A 27,831-nucleotide genomic window follows, 5' to 3' on the forward strand; every position below is an offset into this window, starting at 1 on the left:
CAGGCTGTGAAGAGAAGAGCTTCCTACAGTTTATTGAATAGTATTTATAGTCCCGGAAAATGAGAGCTCAGAGAATTTTGCTGATTGGCATGATTTTTCTGTGTGCTTTCAGTAAATCAACAAATATTTTTTATTTGTTGAAGCTGCTATAGCAGGTACCAAGGGAAAGATAGATAAATGTAAGACCTAGCTTGTGTCCTTAAGGAACTTACTGTCTAATGGAGAACTCTGACCAATATTCTCAGCCTTCTGAGACCTAATACAGAGACCTATGACCAATATCTTATAATGCCTTCTTTACTATCCTGAAATAAAATTCAGAGATACTTGAATTTACTTATACATTGAGAAAAATCAATATGATGTAGTAAATGGAATATAAGTAAGAAATAAAAGTAATTTATAATAAAGTAGGTGCATTCATATGTAAGCACACAGATATTAGCAGACTAAAAGTCTTTTGGCTGGGGTGCAGTGGTGCACTCTTGGCTCACTGTAACCTCTGCTTCCTGGGTTCAAGTGATTCTTCTGCCTCAGCCTCCTGAGTAGCTGGGACTACAGGCATGCACCACCATGCCTGACTATTTTTTGCATTTTTAGTAGAGGCAGGGTTTCACTTTGTTGGCCAGGCTGGTCTTGAACTCCTGATCAGCACTCAAACATACAGCATAATTGTAAATAGTGAAAAATGCTATTTAGGAATAATAGAGTGTTATGATAGAGAACAAAGGGAAAGGCCCTGTTACATGCTTTGATGTTTGAGTCTAAGCCAGAGACTCATTTTCTTATTCCTCTGAGCTAGCTTTCAGCTGTCTGAAATAACAGTTAAAAATAGTATTTGTCTAGATAGGACAAAATGACTTAAGAACATTAATTTGCCATTGACTGCATACTGAGTTACTTTAGCCAACATCAGTTGTTCTTGACAGGTCAATTAAAAACTGTGTTTCTAGTTGTTACAATGACTGGGTGGGGTGGTGACACCAGCTGCCTTCAGTGGGTGGAGACCAGGGATGACAGATGTCCTGTAACACAGAGGATCGTAGAACACAATGAAGAATTGTCCTGTGTACTGTCAGACTTCAGGATGTCTGCCAGATAGTCATGCAGGTGTATTTCAGCCATGAGGCTGAAACCATGTCTCTTTTGGTCCTCAGTAGTGTATTTTTGGTGTGGTATACGGCATACAGAATGACATATATGACATATAGAGTTTGAATCAAAAAAGATAGGCAGCAGAGGCATTCTCAGAAAAGATGACTGCAGATAAGCCGGGAAAGGCAAAGCATCTTCCTGCCTTCTGCTGCTGTCTTCTCATCCACATCTAGGTATTAAGTGTCTGCTACTATTGCCAGTGTCTCTGAGGACACACAGCTTCAGTGTGCTCATCTGTTCTCCGCTGAGCTAAGGACACTAAGACCATAGCTTCCCAGGCTAGATGTGGACCAAGCATCCGGGAAGGCCTAACTGTCCCTGTACTGGGAGTAGTTTTTTCTGTCCCTCCCATGAGTCAACAAAGGTAGAAAGAAAAGTGGAATCTCATGCTAATCTTTTATTCTAAACACCACCACCCCTTAGTCCTGAGATCAGATGTTACCAAGGTCTTCTCAAATGGACGTAGCTGATGTTGTATCTAATGGTACTGTCTCCTCTTGGACTGTATATGGTTTGGCTGCTGAGACTTATCCTGGAGTAAGCTCAAGAGTTGAATTTAGTTTCAAATTGTGATATGAACCAATAGGGTATATGCTATAATTGGACTAGTGTGTAGCTGGGTATAAAAATTCTTACAAAGCTGTTTGCATTTAAACTTTTCATTATAAAATGTACAAGTAAAGAAAACTGAACAAAAAATAAAGGTACAGCTCTATCAATTTGCACAAGACAAATATCTGTAGCTAGCTATCACCCTTAGTCAAGAAATAGAAGATTGCTAGAAACCACACTTGTGCCCTATCTGTCATTACCCTGTCCTCCTTTTGCAAAGATAACTACTGTTCTAACATCCAATGCTATGGAGATGGTTTTAAAACTAAGGCATAGTTTTGCCTGTTTTTGAATTTAGTATAAATGGAATTAAACACTATGTGTCCTTTGGTGTCTAAATTCTTCCACTTATTATATTTTTGAGATCCATGTTGGTACATGTATGAGTATTTTGGACTTTTTTGTTGCTATGTAGTATGCCACTGTGTGAATATACTACACACATACTCTCCCAGTTTGGGGCTTTGTGAATAAAGTGCTGTGTATATTTTATACCTGCCTTTTGGTAGACACATTTCTACCGTCATTTCTTTTGGGTATATACCCAAGTGGAATATAGGTCGTGTGTGTGTGTGTGTGTGTGTGTGCGTGTGCACGTGTGTGCCTGCATGTGTTCCTGGGTTATAGAGTGGGTGTATATTTAACTGTACTGGAAATTGTCAAACAGTTGTCCAAAGTGATTGTACTTGGAAAACTTTGCATTTCCACTAGGAGTGCATAAGCATTCCACTTGCCCCACATACTTAGCTATTAATAGTGTTTTTAATTTTGGCTGTTCTGGTGAGTGTGTAGTGATAATTCCATTGTGGTTTTAATTTGATTATTGATGAGATTTGGCACCTTATTAAGTGTTTTTGGCTTATTAGCCATCTTCTTTTTTGTATTGTCTGTTCAGGTCTCTTACCCATTTTTTGTTTTTTCTTTCCCTTTTGAGTTGCCTTTTTCTTATACATTTGTATGAGTTTTTGTTTTTTATTAAGCACCTTCCATTCGAGGATGCATAGGTTCTTTATATAGTCTGGATATGTTCTCTTCTTTTGCCTATGTGTGTTGCAGATATTTTCTCTTACTTTGTGGCTTGCCTTTTTCCTCTCTTGTCTTTTGAAAAACACAAGTTCTTAGTTTTAATTTAGTCCAGCTTATCAGGCCTTCTCCTTTATGGTTGGTCCTTTTGGTGTCCTGTTTAAGAAAACTTTTTTGACTCTAAAAGTGTGAAGATATTTTCCTATGTTCTAGAAGCTGTTATTGCTTTGCCTTTCATGTTCCCTCTGCAATCCACCTTTTCTTCCTGCATGGATGTCCAGTTGCTTCAGCACTTTCCCAGTACTCTTGTGTTCTCTTCTTTATTACACATCAAGCACCCACTTAGGCTATTGTTTAAAAAAAAATCTATTTTTTTACATTGATCAGTTTGTTTATACTTGTATATACACCAGACTATATTAATTGCTGTAGTTTTAGACTATCTGGATATCTGGAAGAACAAGTCCTTCCTGCTTTATTTCTTATAGATTTTTTTCTATAGGTTTTTTTTTTTTTTTTTTGAGACGGAGTCTTGCTCTGTCGCCAGGCTGGAGTGCAGTAGCACAATCTTGGCTTACTGCAAGCTCCGCCTCCCGGGTTCATGCCATTCTCCTGCCTCAGCCTCCCAAGTAGCTGGGACTACAGGTGCCAGCCACCACGCCTGGCTAATTTTTTGTATTTTTAGTAGAGATGAGGTTTCACCGTGTTAGCCAGGATGGTCTCAATCTCCTGACCTTGTGATCTGCCTGCCTCAGCCTCCCAAAGTGCTGAGATTACAGGCTTGAGCCACCGTGCCCAGCCTTACAGGTTTTTTTTTAATAGCTTTCTTATCAAAGTAAAGAAGTTGCCTTTTATTCCTAATTTGCTGAGTTCTGGTTTTTTAAAATCATGAGCAGATATTAAATTGTATCAAATTTTTTTTCTGTATCTATTGATTTTTCTCCTTATTCACATATTAAAGTAACTTTACATTTCTGGAATAAACCCAACTTAGTTGTAATGTGTTATCCTTTATATAAATTGTTGCATTTGTTTTGCTAATATTTAGTTTAGGATTTTTGCATCTGTGTTTGAGTGAGATTGCCCTGTATTTTTCTTTCCTCTTAATGTCCTGGACTGGCTTTGATATCAAAGTTATGATGACCTCATACAATAGTTTGGGTGCTGTTCTCATTTTTTCTATTCTCAGGAAGAATTTCTATCAGATTGGTATTTTTTTCTAATGTTTGGAAGAATTTACAGGTAGACATCTGTTCTTGAGTTTTCTTTGTTAGGAAGGTTTTAAACTATGGGTTGGATTTTTTTCTACTAGCTATTGGATATACTATTTTTTATTGCTTATATCAATGTAGATAATTTTTTCTCCTAGGAATTTGTCATCTCATCTAAAATTTCAAAAATATTGGTATAAAGCTGTTTATAATAGTCCCTTATGACCTTCGTTTTATTTTGAAATAATATCAAACTTACAGCAAATAACTTTTGCTAAATTACCCAAGAGCAAGCTCAGCCATGATGTCCCACCACCCCAAATTCATTACTGCAATTCAGTTTGAAGACCCTATTTATTTTTTAAAAACAGCTTTCTGAAGTATAATTGGCATACAGAAATACTGTATTTAAAATATATAATTTTAAAAATTAATATACATTCACCTATAAAATCATAGCTATAATGAAAACAGTGAACATATTTATCATCATAAAAGTGTCTTTATGCCCCTCTCTCCATTGTGAGTTAATTTTTGAATATGATTTCAGATATGGATTCAAGGTCATTTTTTGCATATGTACATCGTTTTGTAACCATTTTTTAAAAGACTATCCTTTCTGTGGTTGCCTTGAACCTGTGTCAAAAAACAGTTGTCCATATCTGCATACTTTTATTTTGAGACTTTTAATTCTATTCCATTGATGTATTTATTTTTAAACCAGTACCACACTGTCTTGATTATTGTAGCTTTGTAAGTCTTTAAATTAAGAAGTGTTAGCCCTCCAACTTGTTCTTTTTCAAAGTTGCTTTTGCCATTCTTGGTCCTTTGCATTTCCATATGAATTTTTGAATCAGCTTGTCAATTTTTATGCACACACACACTCAAAATCTACTGGCAGTTTGAGATTGTTTTGAAGCTATAGATCAATTTTGGAAGAATTGACATCTAAACAATATCAAGCCTTCTGACCCATGAAATAAGATATCTCTCTTCATTTATTTAGGTCTTTTATAGCCATATTTTTGTAGTTTTCAGTATCAGATCTTTACATCCTTTGTTTATGAAATCTCTGAGTACCTCAAATTCTGAAGTTTCAATTTCTAATAGTTCATTGGTGGTATATAGAAATGGAGTTGATTTTTGTATATTGATCTTGTGTTTTTCAACCTTGCTAAACTCACTTATTTGTTCTAGTTGTGTTTTGCATAGATTTTATATTAGGATGGCTCTAAAATAGACTTTTTTTCCAGGTCTAGATTAGCTCTGCTTCTAAAGCATGACTTTTCTGGGGTGTCTATCAAATGACTTGTGCATTCAACAAAGTTTCTTCATTCTGGATGGTTGAAATTAAAACATCCCCCAGCCTTGTAAGAGCTTTGGTAGTATTTCTTTAGTTAATTTTGTAGAGACCCTGTATGTATGTATGTACAGCTTAGAATTTAGTCAGAGTATCAAGGGTGCCTTCATAGACATTTCTTTGTCTGTGTATTTTCCTCAAATTCCAGCTGCCACTACTTCCTCAGATTCTGATCTCTGTTCAGTGAGATCACTGTGCTTTGACGTTCCCCTCTCTGTCCCACAGTTAAGAAAGCACCTCCAGACAAAAACAAGTGATCATGAGACTTGCTTTGTTTGTTTCTTTTTCCTCAGGGTTTACAGTGCTTGCTGCCTGTTGTCTGTCTAAAAACTGTTGCTTAATAATTTTGTCCAGTTTAACAGCTGTTTATGGTGGCAAGATTTGTCTAGTCACAGTTACTCTTTCGTAGTCAAATATGATTTTTAACTCAATCATATTGTTTTTAGCTCTGTAGTCCAGTTAAATCTCAACTATGATGTTGTGAGTTCACTGGAAGAGTAAAATTTTAAGCAAATAATGATGTATAACATGATCTTGTATATATTCATTTTATGAAAATGATTTTAAAAAATTAATTTCAAATGAATGCTGTCACATTGATGGCTTATTAATTTACTAAACAAAAAATAATTACCCAAGTCCTATGACACTTGTACCTCTTTTACCAAATATGTTTATTCTGCCTAGTTATTGGATATATTTACTGTGGACATTTTATTCTGTTTCTTTTTAAATACTTTGGAAGTACAGTCTTTATACTTATGTCATAAGAACGATTATTATTAATTTGATTGAACTTATATCATGTTTTAGATATAGCCAGTTTGTACTACATACTCATGTACCACAAGCTTAGATTTTATTATAAGATAACTTGCTGTGTAGGCTGCCTAGTAATTCAAACATCAGATGGATGATTGGCCTAGGTGACTTTTAAATGCCCTTCAGCCTTGAGATTCTATTATTCTTCAGCAAATTAAATTCAGCAGATGTCTTGAGTGCCATTTTAATAGTGTATGTTATATACGAAAAATTGTCTTTGAGAAGCTTAGAATTTCATTGGTGGGATAATACGTACGTGTGTGTATGTGTGTGTGTGTAGAAATCAAATATGTAGAAAGAAGAGAGAATATAGAAAGAATAGTTAAAAAATGTGTATGATTAATTACAGAGTGAACAGCACAAACCACGAATGCTTGACATGTTCAGTCAGAGAAAGAGACAATATGGCAGAAGTAGAATGAGAAAGAACACATCTTGTCATCTTGTGTGTGATGATATCAGCAAAAGAGGGCCACCAAAGCAGCATAAAGGAGAACACAGTTGCAGGAGCGTCAGTAGAGAGACCAGCGTAGCAGAAGTAGAAAGTTGTTTGGCCTTGTTTTTAAAAATATGTGGCTAAGTTGTTAACTATTGCAATTTTATCAACAGTGACATTTCCTTCAGCAAGTGCCAGCATGGTGACAGCATTGGCTGTCTAGATCTGGAAATCTTACATTTGTATGACTAAGGTGCCGCTAGTAATAATGTCTTAATGTTGCTGTAGACTAAAATTTTTTCATAGAAAAATCCTCATCTGTATCATGAGATACATCTGTTTGAGAAACAGTATGAACAGATCAGCCATCTGAGGTCTGCCTTGTTGGAGCTGCTAGGTGCTAGAGAAATTCTTTTGAGTGTTATAGCTCTTCTGTCTGTTTGAGTCTAGTAGATTCTAGTCTTTTGTTTGTGTTTAGCTTTTAAGGGTCAAGGTCATACTGAGGTTAAAACTGTCTTGTTGGGTTGATATTAAAATCTGGACATAGTATTCCATGCTGACTTTTAATTCTGGTATTGGAAGAATAATTCAAAGCATACTTGTTTTTATTTAATATTGTTCAAATAAATTCAAATTTAATACACATATACCAGAATAAAAAGTTTAGATAAATTTTCTACAAAATGGTAAAACCACTGAAATTTCTTACCATTGGCTGTGAACTAAACAGATTATAGAATATTTCTGTGATTTAGTTTATTACTAAATAGGAAATATGTATGAAGACATCTTTGAGTATGAAAATTCTAAATTTCAGTATATCATAGATTTTAGTTTTTAAAATTATAGAACTGTATTTTTTGTCTTTTTTTTTTTTTTTAAATATGGAACACGGTCAGGTACAGTGGCTCACACCTGTAATCCCAGCACTTTGGGAGGCTGAGGCAGGAGGATCACCTGAGGTCAGGAGTTTGAGACCAGCCTGACCAACATGGTGAAACCCAGCCTCTACTAAAAAATACAAAAAGTAGGCATGTGTGGTTGTGCACGCCTGTAATCCCAGCTGCTTGGGAGGCTGAGACACTAGAATCGCTTGAACCCAGGAGGCAGAGGTTGCAGTGAGCCAAGATCACACCACTGCACTCCAGCCTGGGCAACAGATTGAGACCTGTCTCAAAAAAAAAAAAAATAGATAAATAAAAATAAAATATGGAACACTTCACTAATTTGCATGTCACCCTCGCTCAGGGGCCATGCTAGAACTCTACTTTAATATTGCATCATTTTGTTTGAAGCAATACCAAACAAAAGCTGAAAACATGATTAACAGATAGTAAAAGCTTTATGTATATGTCTTCATTCATATTTTCTAAAATCATTGTTTAAAAAATGCTTGTTTAGTAAGCATGCTAAAATCCTTGCTTATGTGTGTTTTTTTTTTTTTTGCACTGGCTTATTTTTGAGGCCGGCTGGGAGTGTTCATGTAAAACAAGAGAGAAATTCCAACAACAGAGAAGGGGGAGGCTGGGGCGGGGGGACAGATAAATGCAATTTTACTTGACAACAGAGTTGAATGTGAGTGTGTAAAATTTCTGCCATAACATAAAACAGATTTGAAATCTTACCAGGTAAAATTTAAAATGTGGATAATACTTGTTAAGTGCCACATTAAGTTATTTACAATATTTGATCCCTAGAGAAACTTAGAAAAGAACTTACGGGGATTATTTTGCTGCTTGTATTCTGATCACTTCATTATTAATTACTGCAGGATCATTTCTATAGCTAATGTGGGATTTTCCTCAGATCTTCTTAAGGCCATAGTCAGAACCAACTGAATATATATATAAGATGATTGCATTATTTTTATTGGAGAAAAATTGAAGCAAATGAAATTGTTTTAATAAAGAATATAAGACTTTCTCCCTCTTTTATCTTGTTAATGTATATTTTATTCTTTTTAACAAGGTAGAATTTTGGCTATAAAACATATACTGTAATATATGCTTTTGGAAAAAGTTTTAAATGAATTTTCAGGGCTGTTGGTGCTGTGAAAATAGTACATGTACTTCTGTGGTTGTTTTAGTGTCTTTTTTGTTGATTTTTGGCAGATAAAATAACACAAGAAGATATTGAAGGCATTCTACAGAAATTTACTGGAAATATAATGCAAGTGCCCCCCCTGTAAGTTCAATTAGTAAATTTGGAAAAATGTTTACTTTTCTTTTCCAATGGTTAACATCACTCTAGTTAAAATACACGAGTTTCCTCTTAGCATATGGCAAGGCAGGTTTTAAATCTGATGTGCCAAATGTTAAAGTGAAGGTGAGACAGGATGTGGAGCTTTTGACACTCTAAGAGGCAGTGGAATGTGGTCTTCTTTGTTTCTGAGTGTGGCCCCAGCCTGGCATCTGTGCTATTACAGTGTTTATTGGCTTTTCTGATTCTATCAACAGACATAAGGGCAGTTAAGGAGCCCAGAGATGTCTCTTTTCCTAGAACTGTTGTGAAGGGACCAGTCCCGTCTGGGAGGGAAGTCAGAGCTGTGAGTCAGAGTCCTAATGTGCACTGCATGTCAGGTGCTGGGACCATTCCTATTGGGCACAATCTTTTGCTTCACTATTCTCTGCAGCCAGCGAAACCGATGAGAGTTACAACTTATTAAAAATACAAGTATATTGCTTTACTGCTTGTCTTAGTTTGGGCTGCAGTAACAAAATAACATAAACTGGGTAGCTTATAAACAACAGAAATTTATTTCTCACCATTCTGGAGGCTGGGAAGTCAGGATCACAGTGCAGTGGGCTCAGCGTCGGGTGAAGGCCTGCTTTTTCACAGATGGCACCTTCTTACCGTATCCTCCTAGTAGAAGGGGCAAGGCAGCTCTCTGGAGCCTCCTTTATAAGCGTACTAATTTCTTTCATGAGGGCTGCGCCCTACGACCTAATTACCTCCCAGAAGACCCTACCTCCTAATATCAACACCTTGGGGGTTAGGATTTCAGCATATAAATTTGGAGGTTTGGCATTCAGATCATAATACCATGTAGCCATATTTTCGTGCACATTACCATTTCAAGCAAATTGCCTCTTTTGAAAAAAATGGCTGAATTGGTTATAGGATATGTCAGGGTAAGTTTCTGACTTTTTTTTTAGAATTTAGTATTTATTTTGTATTTAAAATCTTGAGTTTTTTTCAGGAACATTGAAATATCTCTGAGGAGACGCTTTTTAATGATTTTGCCTCAAATGTAAAAATTTAAAAATTTTAGCAAGATCTGCATAAACGTTATTTTGGATCATTGTTAAATTTATTTATATTTATGTATAAGAATTGTTTTAATATTTTCTGTGATTATTGCAAGGATTTTGTTTTCTAGTAAAATTTTATCACGAAAAGCTAAGATACGCTAAGTAGGTTATTTGCTTATTAGCTTCTTAGAAATGTTTTGGTAACTTATATAAAAATGAATATTATAGTAGAGATTGTTTCAAGGAAATATAGCTGAGAGTATTATGACCAGAGTCTACTAAATTCCTTGTGCCTTTTAACACAGAATGAGGACTAGTAAGGACAAGACATGAATACATTGTCTCTAGAAAGATGATTAAAGAATAAAATTGGTAACACTGCATATTGTGTGCCAGAATGAGGTTATATCAGCCTTAGAAATATTTAGAAACTCTATCCATGACAGCATTATGGAGTAGATTAGAATTAAAAATTCATTCATTTTTTAGAAGGATTTTCATTGTGAAGCACTGCCAGTCATCCTTCCTTTCCATGCTAAATCTGAAATTATCATCTCCCAATCCTTCCAAATCCCTCTCAATTCTTGCTCTCCTTTCCTTCCATTTCTCCTTCTCTCATCTCACAAGCTATTCTGCATTAAAGAAAGATGGACAAAGACTTTCGACTTTGATGAAGAGAGGTGAAGTCGTAGAAGCAAAACCTGCCAGGCCAGTGACTGTATACAGTATCTCCCTTCAAAAATTCCAGCCACCATTTTTCACATTAGGTAAGATGGAGAAATTTGAAATCATTTGTATTTACGTGTATTTTTAATTTGTATTTGGCTACTTTTGTGTCATTTTAATAGATCCGTAGGATGTTGGAGATTTTTTAAAATTTGAATTTAAGGAAAGTTAGGATTTCTTTATACCTTTTTTGGTAACACATTTAATGAGATACCTGTAGCTATATGGAGGTTCAGAAATGCGTTTCTAACTGGGCTGACTTTTTCATATATTGTACTATGTTATCTTACTAGAAAGTTGAAAGTAACATACTTTAGATCTCTATAGAGAAGAGTAGGTAAGGAGTGTATATACTTTTTAAATTTTAGGTTTTTATTATCTTTTGGATGCTTTTCCTCCCATTTTGGCTAGTACCTAATACATTCCGTTTTAGAACTGACATTAATTTTCCAATGAAAACAAAGCATTTTTAGTTTTTGGACAAGAAACCCCTCACTCCCTTCTTCACCACCTATCACTTACTATTAAAGATCCTGCAAATATGGAAAAACATGGGTAAGGCAGAAATGTATTCCTGAATACATGGTCACATTTTTAATTCAAGTTATGAATTTTAATTTCTAATATATATTTGAAATGTAAAGACTAAAAAGTTCATTTCTGTTGTTTGGAAATTTTATGATCTGGCTGCAGAAAGTTGTAAACATGTAAGATCTGTGAAGAATCCAAAGCCGTGGTTCTTAATCCTCAGACTCCTTTAAATTGAGCCTACCCTTAGTTTCACAGTGCACTGAATAGGATTCCGTTTAGAAATAATGTCCCCAAATCTTTTAATCTAAACTCTATTGCTTTTTTATTGGCATTATTGTTTTATCTGTGTTGTGTTTCTGCAGGATATGGTTTTGTACCATTAGAAAAAAAAAGTCACTTTGTTTCTTCATGTTCCTGCTTCTAAAATATTTGACAGATAATGAAAAAAACACACTTAGGAAGGTTGTGCTCCATTCCATGGAAATGAAGCAGCTGGTTTGACACAGTAGATATTCTCTATGAAAGCAAGAAAAAACTCAGATTTTTCAGATTGCATTTAAGTCAGAAATATTTTATTGACTAGGGAGAGTGTAACGGGCCAAAAGAGCTGTCTTTTCACTCAAGTCAAATATCACGCAAGAGTGCTAGCGCGCCTGCATTTCATCCCAGTGCCCACTTTCAATTTCAGCAGTGGCCCCCAACCATGAGCTGACTAAAGAAAGCAGGGGGTGATTAAAATCCCCAGGTGGTGAGTTTTGATTAATTCCCCCAAATGGCTTTATTTGTACCAGTAAGACTCGAAGCAGCTAGAATATAGTCCTTTTGTGTGGAAATGTGGCAGCTCTTTTCAGGAAGTCTTGCTGATGGATAAAAATAATGGAGAGCTCTGTTCTTAACCAATAAACTTGTGTTAGATTGTGTTAAGAAGATATTTAGATTTACATTCAGTTCTGGGACATTGTGCAATTTTAAGTTGTTTTATGATTTCTTCAGGAGTATTTCCAAGAGAACATTTAAATAAACTGAGTTCTTCATGTGTAGTACGGTACCCTAAACATAATTCTTGTCACTGTGAAAAGGGGTTTTTGGTTGGTTGGTTGGTTGGTTGTATTTTTTTTGAATGTACAAGTCAGAAAATATTTTAAAAATCTACCGCTCATGATGGCAAAGCTGCCATTTCTAACCATTTACAACCTATTAAATGAACAAGGCATATAAATCTGAAAATATTTTTTAAAATCTCAAGCTCATGATAGCAAAGCTGAGATTTCTAACTATTTAAAACCTATTAAATGAACAAGGCTGAAGTATTAAAGTGGTATGCCTTGCCAGTTAATTTAAAATGTGTTCATGAGTTTGTGCTGTTTGCTTTCTCCACACTCTGACTTTTCAGTCTCACAAACACATATGCTACTGGATGAATAATTTATGTTTTAGTGCATAAATATTTTATCACTCAATTGTTTGCATAGTGCATTTTTACATTTGTTTAGGGACATCATTTCTATGTAAAGTGGATTTCATAGGAGGTTAGCAATTTACTATGTCACTGTTAACATTCCAGATGTTGAATGTGGAGGAGGTTTTTATATCAGAAGCTTGGTCAGTGACATTGGAAAAGGTAAGCATAAAAATGAATTATGAATTATCATTTAGAGAATAATACTCCTTTTCAATTGGAAGAGGGAATTTTCCGTTTTTCTTATTTCTGAGTACTGGCCTTAGGAACTGAACTCTTGCTGCCTTCAGCTTTAAAAGCATTGTAGGTTTCTGGCTTGCAATTATCAGCCTCAGCAGCTGCAGTGAAATGTTTGTAATGGGAAAGAAGAGAAAGAGAGAACAGAAAACGAAGACAGGAATAATGAACGTAGGGCCAACATCTTTTCAAGTACAAAAGATTTTAACTCAAACTAGGGATCAAAAAAAAAAAAAGATTTAACCTTCTAAAAGTTATTTTCAAATTTTTTTAAACTGGAAGCCGTAGTCTTATAAACAGCCAGAAGGTTTCGGTTCTGGCTGTGCCATTTACTGGCAGTTGTCGCACTGGACAGGTCATATGATCTCATCTGTAAAGTGCGGCTAATCTTTACTCCATGGGGTTGGCTGCATGAGTTAAATAACAAAAATGTGTGCAAGTTCTTTGTTGATTTTAAAGCAGCTTATAAGGTGGATTATTAAGTATTATTTTGCTACTTAATCATTTCTTTATCTGAGGCCTCTTGGTTCTTATATTGGATTATTATACTTTTGGGTGGTTTTGAGAGATTTCAATTGAGTACGGTCATTTGAACAATTACAGACTATGAAATACTGAATCGTTTATCTTCTGGATTTTTTTTCTACCTTTTGTTGCCATAGAACTATCTTCCTGTGCCAATGTGCTAGAGCTGACCCGAACCAAACAGGGACCATTTACGCTAGAAGAACATGCCCTTCCTGAAGACAAATGGACAATTGATGACATTGCACAGTCTCTTGAGCATTGCTCATCTCTTTTCCCAGCAGAGTTGGCACTTAAAAAATCAAAACCTGAGTCTAATGAACAGGTTTTGAGCTGTGAATATATAACTCTAAATGAGCCAAAGAGAGAAGATGATGTAATTAAGACGTGTTGAGATTGGCCTGGGAATATCATCATTTTCTAGTTGACATTTGAATCCTGTGTGCAGATGCAGAATGACAAGCTGCATTCAAAAGACAAACAATATGTCTTTTTTTTTTTTGCATGAAGAAAAATGTCTATCATTTACAGTTTCAATAGCACATAATTTATTTTCTATGCATTATAAATGGCCTTGCAGTTGGCTCAGTTGTTTGTTGTGTTGTGAAATGTTTTAGGATTTTTTGTATTGTGAAAATATGAATATGATTGGATTCAGAAAAATTAACTTTCTGAATTTGATCTGTCTTCAGTCTTGTGAAAAAGTTGAACAAATTTCCTAATCAAAGAAAAAAGTATGAGCTCCATGTTTCTTTAGTTTCACAAAAATGACCATAATTTAGTGTTATTTTTACTTTATTTAGGCTTCCTGGTGGCTTCATTTTATTGAAATTCTTTAAATTGTTTAAAGTGGCCATTATTGATCTCTTTCTTCTGTTTTGGAGAGTTTATTATTAAAAACATTTCTTTGATAAAATGGCCATCATCTAGTAATACCTGTGTTTGTTTAGATCTTGGAAATGAATAAGCTTTGATAATATTTGTAAATGAACCAAATTATTACTGCTACCACTAACAGGTTGTAAATAGAAGACTAATACTTAATTAAAGTCACCTTCCTACCATTAGAGCAGAAGACAGCTCCTATAGTTTTGTATTTTGGCAGCTATGAGATATTTTCATGGTAATGTCAACATGGTCAAGCACTTTGTACCAAGTTATTAAGTAACATAATTTTTAAAATTTAAAGAATGTGTCTTCAACTAAAAACTTTATTCTTTAGCATTTATTTATATTTCTCTGTAGGGTGTTCCCTGTGACATTGTCTCTTTAGTTTGCTCTTTCAAGAGATACTTACAGATGTTGAGATGGCTGCCCTGCATTTCCAGCTAATCTCTTCTGCTCTAAATATTTAAAAACAGTTCTTCTCAAACATTTTCATTCAGATAGCTTTCTGAAAGTTCCCTATCCCTCTTTACCATAATTTTTTAAATGTAGCCACATTGTAATAGTAAACTTCATATATAATGAGTGCTTCATATTTTTGTTATGGGAAAGCAATATATTATGCAGCCAGTCTGTAGAAACATTCAGATCCCTCTTCCTTTACTCAAATACAGTTTCAAAAGGAAGACTCATGAGAAATTTCATAAAATACAAGTTTTTAGATGTTTATGCTTTGCCTTTCTTTTTAAAGGTGTTTTCCTGCTTTGTAGTCTCTAACTCTGAAATTTAAAATATGTAAACTAAAGTGGTTTTATTTGTGCTTAACCCAATTTAAACTCAATGTAAAATGTTATATATGCATCAGTACAGCATTTTCAACATATTGGCAACATATTTTAAATGAAAACACTAAAACAATTCTTAGTATGAGACAAAACTGTAAGGAAAAAGAGTGTTAATACCATGATGCATTAACATAAAATATCAAACACACAAAGTCATAAAATGAAAATTTACAGTTTTACCTGTTCATATCTAGTGCCCCACAGTGTGTGTCAACCAAAGGTGGCAGTGGCTACATCTGCCTGTTGGACTGGTACAGGTTACAATATGTCCTCTTCCATTGCAAATTAAAGTCCAAATAGAGAAATACTTAGGTTTTAGAACACATCAGAGGTATTTCTGCTGTATTTTTCACCTTAAAAATTGACACAGAGTTTACTAATAGAGGAGTAGAGATTGTTGACCATTTTTAAAAAACGATAGCCACTCTTTTTCTTTTATGTTTAAAACTGAAGTTTTGCCAAATGGGAAAATTACTGTTACCTCTACCATCTTAATGTAGTAACTTTAGAATTTAAATTTTTATATTACTATTTTCCTTTTTGTTGTTCACATAGTCTTAAGGCACCTATACTTTTAAATTGACTTTTTCATTTGATATTATCTATATGTATGTAGTTGTGATAATGATTATTTTAATTATATTACTTTATACTCTTAATTTATTTAGAGTATTTCTCTATTGCTGAATACTTAAGTAGTTTTAAATTTTATTATGATAAATTCCTGGGAGGGGGATTATTTAGTGAAATAATATGAAGAACTTTATGACTTATGTTTGCCTTATTGCATTCCCAAAGAGTTGTAACATTTTACAGTGTTACCATTTGAGTAGGGGTTTTATATGTTGTTGCTAATTTAGTAAACATAGGAGAGAAATCAAAGTTTTTCTGATTTGCTTTTATGTGATTTATCTGTATACTTTGTTCATTTATATAAATAAATGTCTTAATGGTTTCTATACATATTTGCATGAGTTATTTGTGTTGTAAATACCTGATAGAAGGATTTTTCACGGTCTGTTGTCCTTTTAGTTTTAATTTTCATTTTTGCTAACTAAATTTGCTAATTCTAATAACTCTTCCCCTTTTATCATTGTCAGATTAATAAGTATGAAAAATTTTAAATTTATTGAGACTTTAAAATCTTACTAACTCTCATAAGCAGTTGAAACTGAGATACTCTGAAAAGTTCAAGACTCATTCATAAAACAAATTAGTTTTCCCTGATAGTCTGGTATTTAAATACCAACTCAGTTTTTTTTTCATTTTTATCAAAATATTCAAGAAATTTCTGTGTCTTATATTTTTCTAGGTCTAAACCTTCATGACATGATAAAGTTGTTTTACTTGTAAGAAAACGATAAAAGATTTAAAAAATCCTGAAAATGTTTCAACCTGGAACATACCAAATCACTTCATTTTGACACTTTAAGTTTTTTATATTTGAAAAATAATGTCTTAAAAGTTGTTAAAAGTCATAGAATTATTTTATTTATAGTCTTAAAATCCAGGACCTTTATGTAATAGAAATTTGCTCTTTGCAAATTCAAAGTTTTGAAATGTGAATAAAGGCTAAACACAGTTTCCTCTACCTGTACTGACTAGATATTTTTTTCTTAAATACTTGAATTAAAACAAGCCATTGACTCATCATCAGAAATGAGTTACTGTATTAAATAAGAGTGCTTTGTATCAGATCTTCAGTACATTTTATGTCCCCTGACCAGTTTGAAATTTGTATCAGATTTACAATGAACATTTTGAGGTTCAATTAGATGGTGAATTGTTCTGTTTCAAAGAAAGTAAGTAATTTACCTTATATCATGATGTATACAATAGAAAGAGATGTGATTCAAAAGCACTGTAAAATGCCAAAACATTTAAATAGAGGAAACGATAATAGATATGAGGTTTATGCACTGAAATGAGTATAATGGCCTTGTAGTTAAATTTAAAGAGAGGGATTGTCTTGAAACCATTTCTTTCTCTAAGGTATGTATGGGCAGAGCTCTAGATTGTCCTAATTCTTCATTAAATACTATTTATTAAGCACATTTATTAAGGTGTTGAATCAGTAGTACCTTCATTTGTTAATGTGTGAGCTAAATTCTCTTTATGAATAGGAATATCTTCAGATTGCTGCTATAAATACTGATACCGGCCGGAAAGTTGAAGTTCGGGAATTATTTTGCTCTTCTTATCCTTAACCCTTAAAATGCAGCATATTAACTTTATTTCTGTCTTTACCGTTAGTCAACTTTTTGATCCTAGGTGAATCACTTAATCTCTTTAGGTCTCAAGTTTCCTTATCCTTACAACAAAGGAGACAGACTAGTCCATCTTGAAGAATCTCTCCAATGCTAAAATATTAGGCTTCCAAGTGTAGATAATTTGTGATTATTTTGCTTAGGAACTCATTCCTCATGAACTTGAACTTTTATATTTATCAGTTCTGGGGAATTCCCATCCTTCATTTCTTTGGATATTTCATCTCTTCCAGCTAGTAATCCTATTTAAGTCTTTTTGTTTTATTCTGTGTCTAATTACTCTTTCATATTTTCCATCTCTTTATCCCACTGTGCTGCATACTGGGGAATTTCCTCCAATCTTTTTTCCAGATAATGAATGCCTTTTTCTATTTTTATTTACTGTTTAACAATCATATATTTATTCCAATCACTCTTGTGTTTTATTTTTATTTATTTATTTATTTTGACACAGAGTCTCACTCTGTTGTCCAGGCTGGAGTGCAGTGGCGCAATCTTGGCTCACTGCAACCTCCGCCTCCCAGGTTCAAGTGATTCTCCTGCCTCAGCCTCCTGAGTAGCTGGGATTACAGACGTGCATCACCATGGCCAGCTAATTTTTTTATTTTTTATTTTTAGTAGAGACGAGGTTTCACCATGTTGGCCAGGCTGGTCTTAAACTCCTGACCTCAGGTGATCCTCTCTCCTCGGCCTCCCAAAGTGTTAGGATTACAGACATGAGTCACTGTGCCCCGGCCTTTTGTTTTTATTTCTACACCAGGTTTTTTTCCTCCAAAATCTGCCTCTTCTTTTTTCATGTGTTGTCTTAGTCTTTCATTAAGGTTTTAGTAAAAAAAATATTTTTTTTACTTTGGTATTTAATATACAGAAAGTCACACATAACTGTATAGCTTAGTGAATTTTCACAAACCAAACATGTCTATAATCAGCAACCAAGTCAAGAAACAGAACATCACTAAGCCCTCCAGAAGCCCCTACTGCTCCATCAAGATTATAGATTAGTATTTCATGTAACAATATAGATTAGTAATTTTGTCTGTTTTTGTGCTTCATATAAATAGAAGTATGTGATATGTTTTCTTTTATGTCTGGCTTCTTTTGCACAAAGCTACAATCATGAGGTTCTTCCATATTGTGGCTGTCTTAGCTTGGGCTGCTATGACAAAATGTCATAGACTGGGTGACTTTAACATACTTGTTTCTCACAGTACTGGAGGCTGGAAGTCTGAGATCAGGGTGTCAGTGTGGTTGGGTTGTTGTGAGGGCTGTCTCACTGGCTTGGAGAGGGCTACCTTCTCATTGTGTCCTCACGTGGCTGAGAGAGGAGGCTTTTGTCTTTCTTCCTCCTCTTATAGGGACGTTAACCCCATCATAGTGGCTCCAATCTCATGACCTTGTCTAAATTTAATTACCTCCCAAAGGCCCCACTTACTGTTCATTGTCATTGTTTACTATTATTCAGTTATTACCACTGTTGATCTATTTTACTGAATGATGGACACTTGGTTAGCTTTCAATTTTGACTATTTTGAATAATGCCTCTATGAGCAATGTAATACTTGTCTCCTGGTAAACATGCACACATTTCTGTTGGAATTTTTTTTTTTTTTTTTTTTTTTTTTTTTTTGAGACGGAGTCTCGCTTTGTCACCCAGGCTGGAGTGCAGTGGTGCCATCTCGGCTCACTGCAACCTCTGCCTCCCAGGTTCAAGCAATTATCATGCCTCAGTCTCCTGAGTAGCTGGAAATAGAGGCACACACCACTATACCCAGCTAATTTTTTTGTATTTTTAGTAGAGACAGGGTTTCACCATATTGGCCAGGCTGGTCTCAAACTCCTGACCTCAAGTGATTTGCCTGCCTCAGCCTCCCGAAATGCTGGGATAACAGGCGTGAGCTACTGCGACTGGCCTCTGATGGATATTTCTAAGACTGGAATCTAGGTTGTAAAGTATACACGTTAAGCTTTAGTAGATAGTGCAAGGAGTTTTTCTAAGTTGCTGTACCAGCAGCATATGGGAATTCTGATGGTTCCACATCCTTATCACCACAAAGTATTTTACGTTTTCTTCTTAACCATTTAGGCACATGTTTACTTTATCACAATATGGTTTTAATGAACTTTTCTCTGATTTCTTAGGGTTTTTAGTTATGTGTATTTTTTAGTCTAATTTTCTATGTAGTCTACTAGTCTATTTAGTCTTATTGTCTAGTCTAACAGTCTCTGTTAACTCAGTTATCTGAAATTCTTATGGAGTATGCTCTAATATTGCTTGTTGAATCTCCCAATTCTCAGCCAAGGTAGATTGTGTCCTACCTTGTGTTCTTTGTGTTGTAAACTTGGATTATGAGGTAATTCAGTGAGACTTTATGGGAGTGTGTGTGCTTGGGTTGAGAGTGTCCTTCCAGAGAGATTTTGGGATTGTTTCTGCTAGGCACACCAGAGATATCGCTGTTCCAAAATCCTCATCGTAAATGATCATTGCAGAGATGTTTTATTATTGTTGTGTTGTGTTTTGTTTAATTTAAAGCCTAAGTCAAAGAAAAGCTTCCTTGTTTTCGCCCTGTGTTTATGGTAAATTGCATTGTAGTCTACCATTTTATTAAATGTATAGTCCTTTAAGGGTACCAGTTTTATGCCTATGTTTGTGGGTGTCACAGTTCCAAAACCTGCCTCTCAAGATCCACACTTGGTTTCCATCCCCACTTAAAAGGCAAACACTTTGGTTACAGAGAGGAGTAAATCTTGCCTCCCTCCCCCACTACCTGGATTGCTGTAGCATCAAGAAGTATGTTTACCACTCTGGGTTTCAGATCGTTCTTTGTTTTGGACCCTGGTGAATTTCCTTAGTATAAGTTCAATTATTTTTTAAAGGAATTTTTAAAAAGTCACATTTATATGCAACAAAATTCACCATTTTAAGTGTATAGTTCATTGAGCCAGCTTGAGGTTTAACTTGCTCTTTTTCTAGTTTTAAAGTAGAGGCTTAGGTCACTTCTTTTTAAACTTAAGCATTAAATCTTATCAGTTTTTCTTTGAGCACTGCTTTAGCGGCATCTCATGAGTTATTATAAGCTGTGATTCAATTTAAAATAATTTCCATTGTGATATTTCACTTTACCTATTACTTAGAAGTATATCATTTACTTTCTGGATATTAGAGGATTTTCTATATAAAATTCTCTAGTTGATGTCTTGTTTAATTTCATTGTGGTGAGAGAATATAAAATACATGAACATAAAATGTGTGATTTCCATTCTTACAAATTTATTAAGACTTGTTTAGTGACTCAGAAATGGTCTACCTTGGAATTTGTTCCATGTACATTGGTTAAGAATGTGCTTTCATGGTTGTTGGGTGGATCATTCTGTAAATATCAATTAGGTCAAGCTTGTTGCTTGTGTTATTCAGGTCTTCCATAGCCTTAATGGGGTTTGTTTTGCTTTGTTTTGTTTTCTGTTTTTGGTCTACTTTGCCTATCAGTTACAGTGAGAGGAGACCTGCAATCTCCAATTATAATGTTGGACTTGTCTGTTTCTTCTTTCAGTTCTTTTTTTTTTTTTTTTTTTTTTTTTTTTTCACAAGAGGGAGGCTCACTGTGTTCCCCAGACTGGAATGTAGTGGTGTGATCTCGGCTGACTGCAACCTCCACCTCCTGGGTTCAAGGAATTCTCCTGCCTCAGCCTCCCAAGTAGCTGAGGTTACAGGTGCCAGCCACCACGTCCAGCTAATTTTTGTATTTTAGTAGAGACGGGGTTTCACCGTGTTTGCCAGGCTGGTATCAAACTCCTGACCTCAAGTGATCTGCCTGCCTCAGCCTCCCAAAATGCTAGGATTACAGGTGTGAGTCACCGCACCCAGCCCTTCTTTCAGTTCTATCACCTCTTTTTGCTATATTTGTATGAGAGCTTTATTATTAGGGGCACATACATTTAAAATTGTTATGTCTTATTGATAGATTGATCTGTCATTATGAATGTCTGTATTCATTCCTGATAGTATTTCTTTTTCTAAATATTTTTCTGAATGTGTCTGCTATTAACATAGCCACTCTGGCTTTTTAAAATTAGTATTTTTATGGTATATATTTTTCCTTTTTTTTTTTTTTAAGTTTTAGATGTTATGTTTCCTTATACTTAAAGTGGGTGTCTTATAGGCAGCATATATCTGGGTCTTGATGTATTATTTAATCTGATAATCTCAACCTTTTTGTTGGAGTGTTTAGGCCATTTACATTTAGTGTAATTATAGACATGGTTTGATTTGCTATACCATCTTTTCATTTGTTTTATATGTGAGCCATCTTTTCATTGTTCTTTTTTCATCTTTGACCATTTTCTTTAGTACTGAATACTTTTTTTGTATTTCATTATATCTATTGGCTTTTTAGTTATACCTCTTAAAATTTTTTTTTCTGTTTTATGTAGGATTTATAATATACATCTTTAACTTATCACAGATTACCTTCAAATAGTATTTTACCAGCTCAAGTGTAATGTAGAAACCTTACAAGAGTATATTTTCATTTCTGTCTCCTAATTTTTATGCTATTGTCTATAATACATTAGGTTTGTTGTTGTTTGTTTTTACCTTATTGCTGTTGGCTGGGGTCAGCAAACATTTTCTGTAAAGGGCTAGATAGTACAGGCATACCTTGGAGATACTGTGGGTTTGGTTCCATACCACCACAATAATACAAATATGCAAGAAGTGGATATCACAATAAAGTGAGTCACACAAGTCTTTTGGCTTCCCAGTGCATATAAAAGTTTTGCTTATACTACACTGTAGTCTGTTAAGTGTGCAATAGTGTTATGTCTAAAAAAACACATACCTTAATTTTAAAATGCTTTATTACTAAAAAATGCTAACAATCATTTGAGCATTCAGTGAGTTGTAATCTTTTTGCTGGTGGAAGGTCTTTTCTTATTGATGACTGATCGGGGGTCAGGTGCTGAAGCTTAGGGTGGCTGTGGCAGTTTCTTAAAACAACAGTGAAGATTGCAATATCAGTTGACTCTTCCTTTCATGAAAGATTTCTCTCTAGTGTGTGATGCTTTTTGATAGCATTTTATGCACAGTAGAACTTCTTTGAAAATTGGAGTCAATCCTCTCAAACCCTGCTCTGCTTTAACAACCTAAGTTAATATAATATTCTGAATCCATTGTTGTCATTTCAACAATTTTCACAGTGTCTTCACCAGGAGTAGATTCCATCTCATTTCCTGAGATGGAATCTTTGCTCATCCATAAGAAGAAATTCCTCATCTGTTCAAGTTTTATCATGAGATTGCAGCAATACAGTCATGTCTTCAGGCCTCACTTCACTTTTAATTCCAGTTCTCTTGCTGTTTCTACCACATCTGTGGTTCCTTCCTCCATTGAAGTCTTGAACCTCTCCAAGTCATCCATGAGGGTTGGAATCGACTTCTTCCAAATTCCTGTTAATATTTATATTTTGACCTCCCATGAATCATGAATGTTCTTAATGGCACCTGGAATGGTGAATCCTTTCCAAAAGGTTTTCAATTTACTTAGTCCAGATCCATCCATCCAGAGGATCCACTTTCAATGCCAGTTATAGCCTTATGGAATGTATTTCTTCAATAATAAGGCTTGAAAGTTGAAATTACTCCTTGATCCATTTTCTGCAAAATAGATGTTGTGTTAGCAGGCATGAAAGCAACATTAATCTTTTTGTACATGTCCATCAGAGCTCTTGGGTGACCAGGTATATTGCCAGTGAGCAGTAATACTTTGAAAGGAATTATTTTTCTTAGCAGTAGGTCTCAACAATGGGCTTAAAATATTTGGTCCACCATTCTGTAAACTGATGTGCTGTCATCTAAACTTTGTAGTTTCATTTATAGAGCACAGGCAGAGTAGATGTAGCATAATTCTTAAGGGACTTAGGATTTTCAGAATGGTAAATGAACATTGGCATCAATTTAAATCACTAGCTGTATTAGCCCCCAACAAGAGAGTCAGCCTATTTTTTGAAGCTTTGAAGCCAAGCGTCGACTTCTCCTCCCTGGTTACAAAAGTCCTAGATGGCATCTTCTTCCAATATAAGGCTGTTTTATCTACATTGAAAATCTGTTGTTTAGTGTAGCCACCTTCATCAATGATACTATCTAGATCTCTTGGATAACTTGTGCAGCTTCTACATCAGCATTTGCTACTTCACCTTGTACTCTTATGTAATGGAGTGGCATCTTTCCTCGTACCTCATGAACCAACCTCTGCTAGCTTCCAACTTTTCTTCTGTAGTTTCCTCGCCTCTCTCAGCCTTCATAGACTTGAGGATAGTTAGAGACTTGCTTTGGATTAGATTTTGGCTTCAGGAAATGTTGTGGCTGGTTTGATCTTCTATCCAGACCACTAAAACTTTATCCATATCAGCAATAAGGCTGTTTTGCTTTCTTATTATTTGTGTGTTCACTGGAGTAGCACTTTTAATTTGCTTCAAGATATATTTCTTTGCATTCACAACTTGGCTGACTGGTGCAAGAGGCCTAGCTTTCAGACTATCTTGGCTTTTGACATGCCTTCCTCACTAAGCTTAATCATTTCTAGCTTTTGATTTAAAATGAGAGATGTAGGCCAGGCACAGTGGCAGGCACAGTGGCATATGCCTGTAATTCCAACACATTAAGAGGCCAAGGTGGGAGGATTGCTTGAACCCAGGAGGTGGAGGTTGTAGAGATCACACCACTGCATTCCGTCCTGGATGACAGAGCAAGACCCTTTCTCAAAATAAAATGAGAGGTGTGCTTCTTCTTTTTGTTTGAGCCCATAGAAGCCATAGTATGATTTTTAATTGGCCTAATTTCAATACTGTTGTGTCTCAGAGAATAGGGAGGTCTGAAGAGAGGGAGAGAGGTGGGGGAATGGCTGGTCAGTGGAGCAGTCAGAACACACATAACACTAATAAATTGTTTGCTGTCTTATATGGATGTGGTTTGTGATGCCCCCAAACAATTACAATAGTTACAGCAAATATCACTGATCACAGATCACCATAACAGATATAAGAATCATGGAAAAGTTTGAAATATTTTGAGAATTAGCAAAGTGTGACACAGAGAAACAAAGTGAGCACATGCTGTTGGAAAAAATTGGTGTTGATAGACTTGCTCCATGTAAGTTTGCCATACGCCTTCAATTTATAAAAAACACAATATCTAGGAAGTTCAATAAAGTGAAGTGCAATAAGATGAAGTATGCCTGTAAATATTTCAGGCTTTCCAGACCATAGGGTTTCTGTTGCAACTGCTCACCTCTGCCATTATAGCATGAAAGCAGCTATAGAAAATATACATAAATGAGGCCTGTAATCCCAACACTTTGGGAGCCCAAGGTGGATGGATCACTTGAGGTCAGGAATTCGAGACCAGCTTGGCCAACATGGCAAAACCCCGTCTCTACTAAAAATACAAAAATGAGCCAGGACTACGCATGCCTGTAGTCCCAGCTACTTGGGAGGCTGAGGCAGGAGAATCTCTTGAACCCGGGAAGGGGAGGTTACAGTGAGCCAAGATTGTGCCACTGCACTCCAGCCTGGGCAACAGAGTGAGACTGTCTCACAAAAAAAAAAAAAGGAAAAGAAAATACACATAAATGAATGTATGTGGCTGTGTACCAGTATATCCTCATGCTCTAGCTTGCCAACCCTTGCTTTACACTGTCAGTTACCTTCTAAAGAGATTAAAAATCATAACAATATCTATTACGTTTATTCACATCCTAGTGTCATTTCTTCCTTATGTAGAATCAAATTTCATTCTGGTATCATATTTCTTCTTTCTAAATAATTTCCTTTAATATTTTTTATAGCACAGGTCTAATAGCAATGCATTATGCAATTCATTGCTATTAGACCTGTGCTATAAAATAGCAATGAATTATGTCAGTTTTTATTTGTCTGAAAAAGTTTTTTGTTTTTGAAATATACTTTTGCTGGGTATATAAATCCATGTTGCATAACTTCTCTTTTCTTCAGCACTTTAATGAAGTCACTCAGTTATCTTCTGGCTTGTATAGTTTCTCTGGCTGCCTTCAAGATTTTTTCATTGTCTTTAATTTTTAGCAGTTTGATGTGTCTAGGAGTGATTTTCTTTGTATTTATCCTTTTGGGGGCCTCTTAATTTCTTTGATCCTTTTTTTCTTTTTTTTTTTTTTTTAATCAGTTTTGGTCTGTCTCCTCAAGTGGGCTGAAAAAAAAAGAAAAATAAAATCATAGTTTAAAAAACTAATTTTGGAAAATTTTCAGCTATCATTTCTTCAAATATTTATCCTACTCTATGCTCCCCTCCTCCCCTTTCCTTCTGTGACTCAAATTACAGGTATATTTAACCATTTTATTTGTTCACGGCACTTGGATGCTCTGCTTTCTTATTTTTTGTCTTTCATTTTGGATAATTTCTACTGACCTATCTTCAAGTTCACTGATTCTTTTCTCAGTCATGTCTAGTGTGCTCAACGCCTGTTGAAGAAATCCTTTGTCTTTAATATCATGTTTTTTATTTCTAGCATTTTCATGTAACTCTTTGTTCTGGTTTCCATCTCTCTACTCACTTTTTTTTTTTTTTTTTTTTTTTTTGAGACAGAGTCTCGCTCTGTCACCCAGGCTGGAGTGTAGTGGCGCGATCTCGGCTCACTGCAACTTCCGTCCCCTGGGTTCAAGTGATTCTCCTGCCTCATCCTCCCGAGTAGTTGGAATTACAGGTGCCCACCACCGTGGCTGGCTAATTTTTGTATTTTTTTAGTGGAAACAGGGTTTCACCATGTTGGCCAGGCTGGTCTTGAATTCCTGACCTCAGGTGATCCACCTGCCTCAGCCTCCCCAATTGCTGAGATTACTGGCATGAGGCACTGCACCCAGCTCTGCTGACATTTTTTATCTTTTGCTGCATTTTGTCTACCTTTTCCATGAAATCCTTTAACATAGTAGTCATAGTTACTTTCAATTCCTTGTCTGACAGTTCTGACATTCAAGTCTAGGTCTGTTAATAGCTTTGTGAGTCTGTTAACAGCTTTTTTTCATTCTTGTCTGTGTGTTTTGTATTTCTTGATTGTATGCCAAATATTGCCTGTAAAATAAACTTAGATAAGTCATACTTCTATCCAGAAATAGGCACATTTTTTGTGTCCAGTCATTAGTGTGGAGGGAGGTTGGGGCAGTCTAGTCAGTGGCTGAACTAGGTTTGGATTTGTTGATGCTATACTTAGAATGCACCAGACTTCCATTCACTGCAAGAGTGGGCTGCTGCGCTTTGTGATTCATGTGAGGCCTGAATTGTGGAAGGGTTTTTCCTTAGTGTGTCCCTCCATGCTCAGATTTCAGCAAGTCTTCATATCTGTGCCACAGAAGGAATCTGACCCATGCTCTTTTTGACCTCCCCAAGTGATCAACTGTTGCTTGTTATAGCTTGTCATGGAGTAAGAGGGTGTTTTTTTAGTTTTCATCCTCCAGCCTTGGTCTTGGGCCCTGAGCTCCTAGACTCCAGGAGTGGATGGAATCCAGTGATTTCTCAGTAATTCAGCCCCTTCTCCAGTAGTGGCAGATCTCTGCTTTGTATCAGTGCAAGATCCTGGGCTGAGCTCATTTTCTGCCCTTCCTCGAGTGGCAGACAGCTCTTGCTTTCACCCTTCTACCAAAGGCAGTGCATCTTTTCTTGGGCCTCTCCCCATTGAACTTATGACTTTCACATAAGAGAAGGGCTCATGTATCAGAGAATTCTGTGACTTTGTGCCACATACAGAGTCTCTCAGTTCTCTTGCCCTGCCCCAGTCTTTTTTGTGAGCACCTAGTAGAGACCCTTGGAGAAGAGCAAGGAAGCGAGTATGGACTTCTTTTGTGTCTGTCGATTGCTTTGTTTCTCAACTGCTACTCTTGGACTTTAAGAATTCATTAAAATTTCAGCTGTTTTCTTTTTTTCTTTTTGTTTTTCTTTTTTTTTTTTTTTTTTTTTAGATGGAGTCTTGCTCTGTTGCCCAGGCTGGAGTGCAGTGGTGTGATCTTGGCTTGCTGCAACCTCCGCCTCCCGGGTTCAAGCGATTCTCCTGCCTCAGCCTCCCAAGTAGTTGGGATTACAGGTGCCCACCACCACACCTGGCTAATTTTTGTATTTTTAGTAGACACAGGGTTTCACCATTTTGGTCAGGCTTGTCTCAAACTCCTGACCTCATGATCTGCCCGCCTCAGCCTCCCAAAGTGCTGGGATTACAGGCATGAGCCACCGCGCCAGGCCTCAGCTGTTCTCTTTTTACCTGCTGGGATGGCTAGTTTTCTGTGTCAACTTGACTGGGCCATGGGATGTCCAGATATGTAATTAAACAGTATTTCTGGGTGTTTCTGTGAGGGTGTCTTCAGAAGAGATTTGCATTTGAATTGGTGAACTAAGTAAAGCAGAGGGCCCTGTCTAGTAGGGGTAGGCATCATCCAGTCTGTTGAGGACTTGAATAGAACAAAAGGCAGGGGAA

At 35.7% G+C, this 27,831-nt stretch overlaps 1 protein-coding gene and 1 pseudogene across 1 annotated transcript in view, besides 1 other annotated feature; one reads left to right on the forward strand and one right to left on the reverse strand.

Annotated features, from left to right (window-relative positions):
* The window catches only part of TRUB1 (TruB pseudouridine synthase family member 1), a 39,482-nt gene extending 23,443 nt beyond the window's left edge, over nt 1–16,039 (forward strand). The window contains exons 5-8 of the mRNA NM_139169.5: nt 8,731–8,803; nt 10,498–10,637; nt 12,692–12,748; nt 13,486–16,039. Coding sequence (NP_631908.1) covers nt 8,731–8,803; nt 10,498–10,637; nt 12,692–12,748; nt 13,486–13,742 — 527 coding nt within the window. The 3' untranslated portion in view covers nt 13,743–16,039. The remainder of the gene's footprint in view (nt 1–8,730; nt 8,804–10,497; nt 10,638–12,691; nt 12,749–13,485) is intronic.
* Nucleotides 5,470–5,670: a silencer, noted in NCBI's record as "peak1102 fragment used in MPRA reporter construct". NCBI's record gives its function as "represses an SCP1 promoter by STARR-seq MPRAs in K562 erythroleukemia cells {active_cell/tissue: K562}" and the evidence as "EXISTENCE:reporter gene assay evidence [ECO:0000049][PMID:32103011]".
* On the reverse strand, nt 7,823–7,931 carry RNU6-1121P (RNA, U6 small nuclear 1121, pseudogene; annotated as a pseudogene).
* Nucleotides 16,040–27,831: the final 11,792 nt, after the last annotated feature.

This window comes from Homo sapiens, chromosome 10 (assembly GCF_000001405.40).
Source record: "Homo sapiens chromosome 10, GRCh38.p14 Primary Assembly".
NCBI classification, from domain to species: Eukaryota; Metazoa; Chordata; class Mammalia; order Primates; family Hominidae; genus Homo; species Homo sapiens.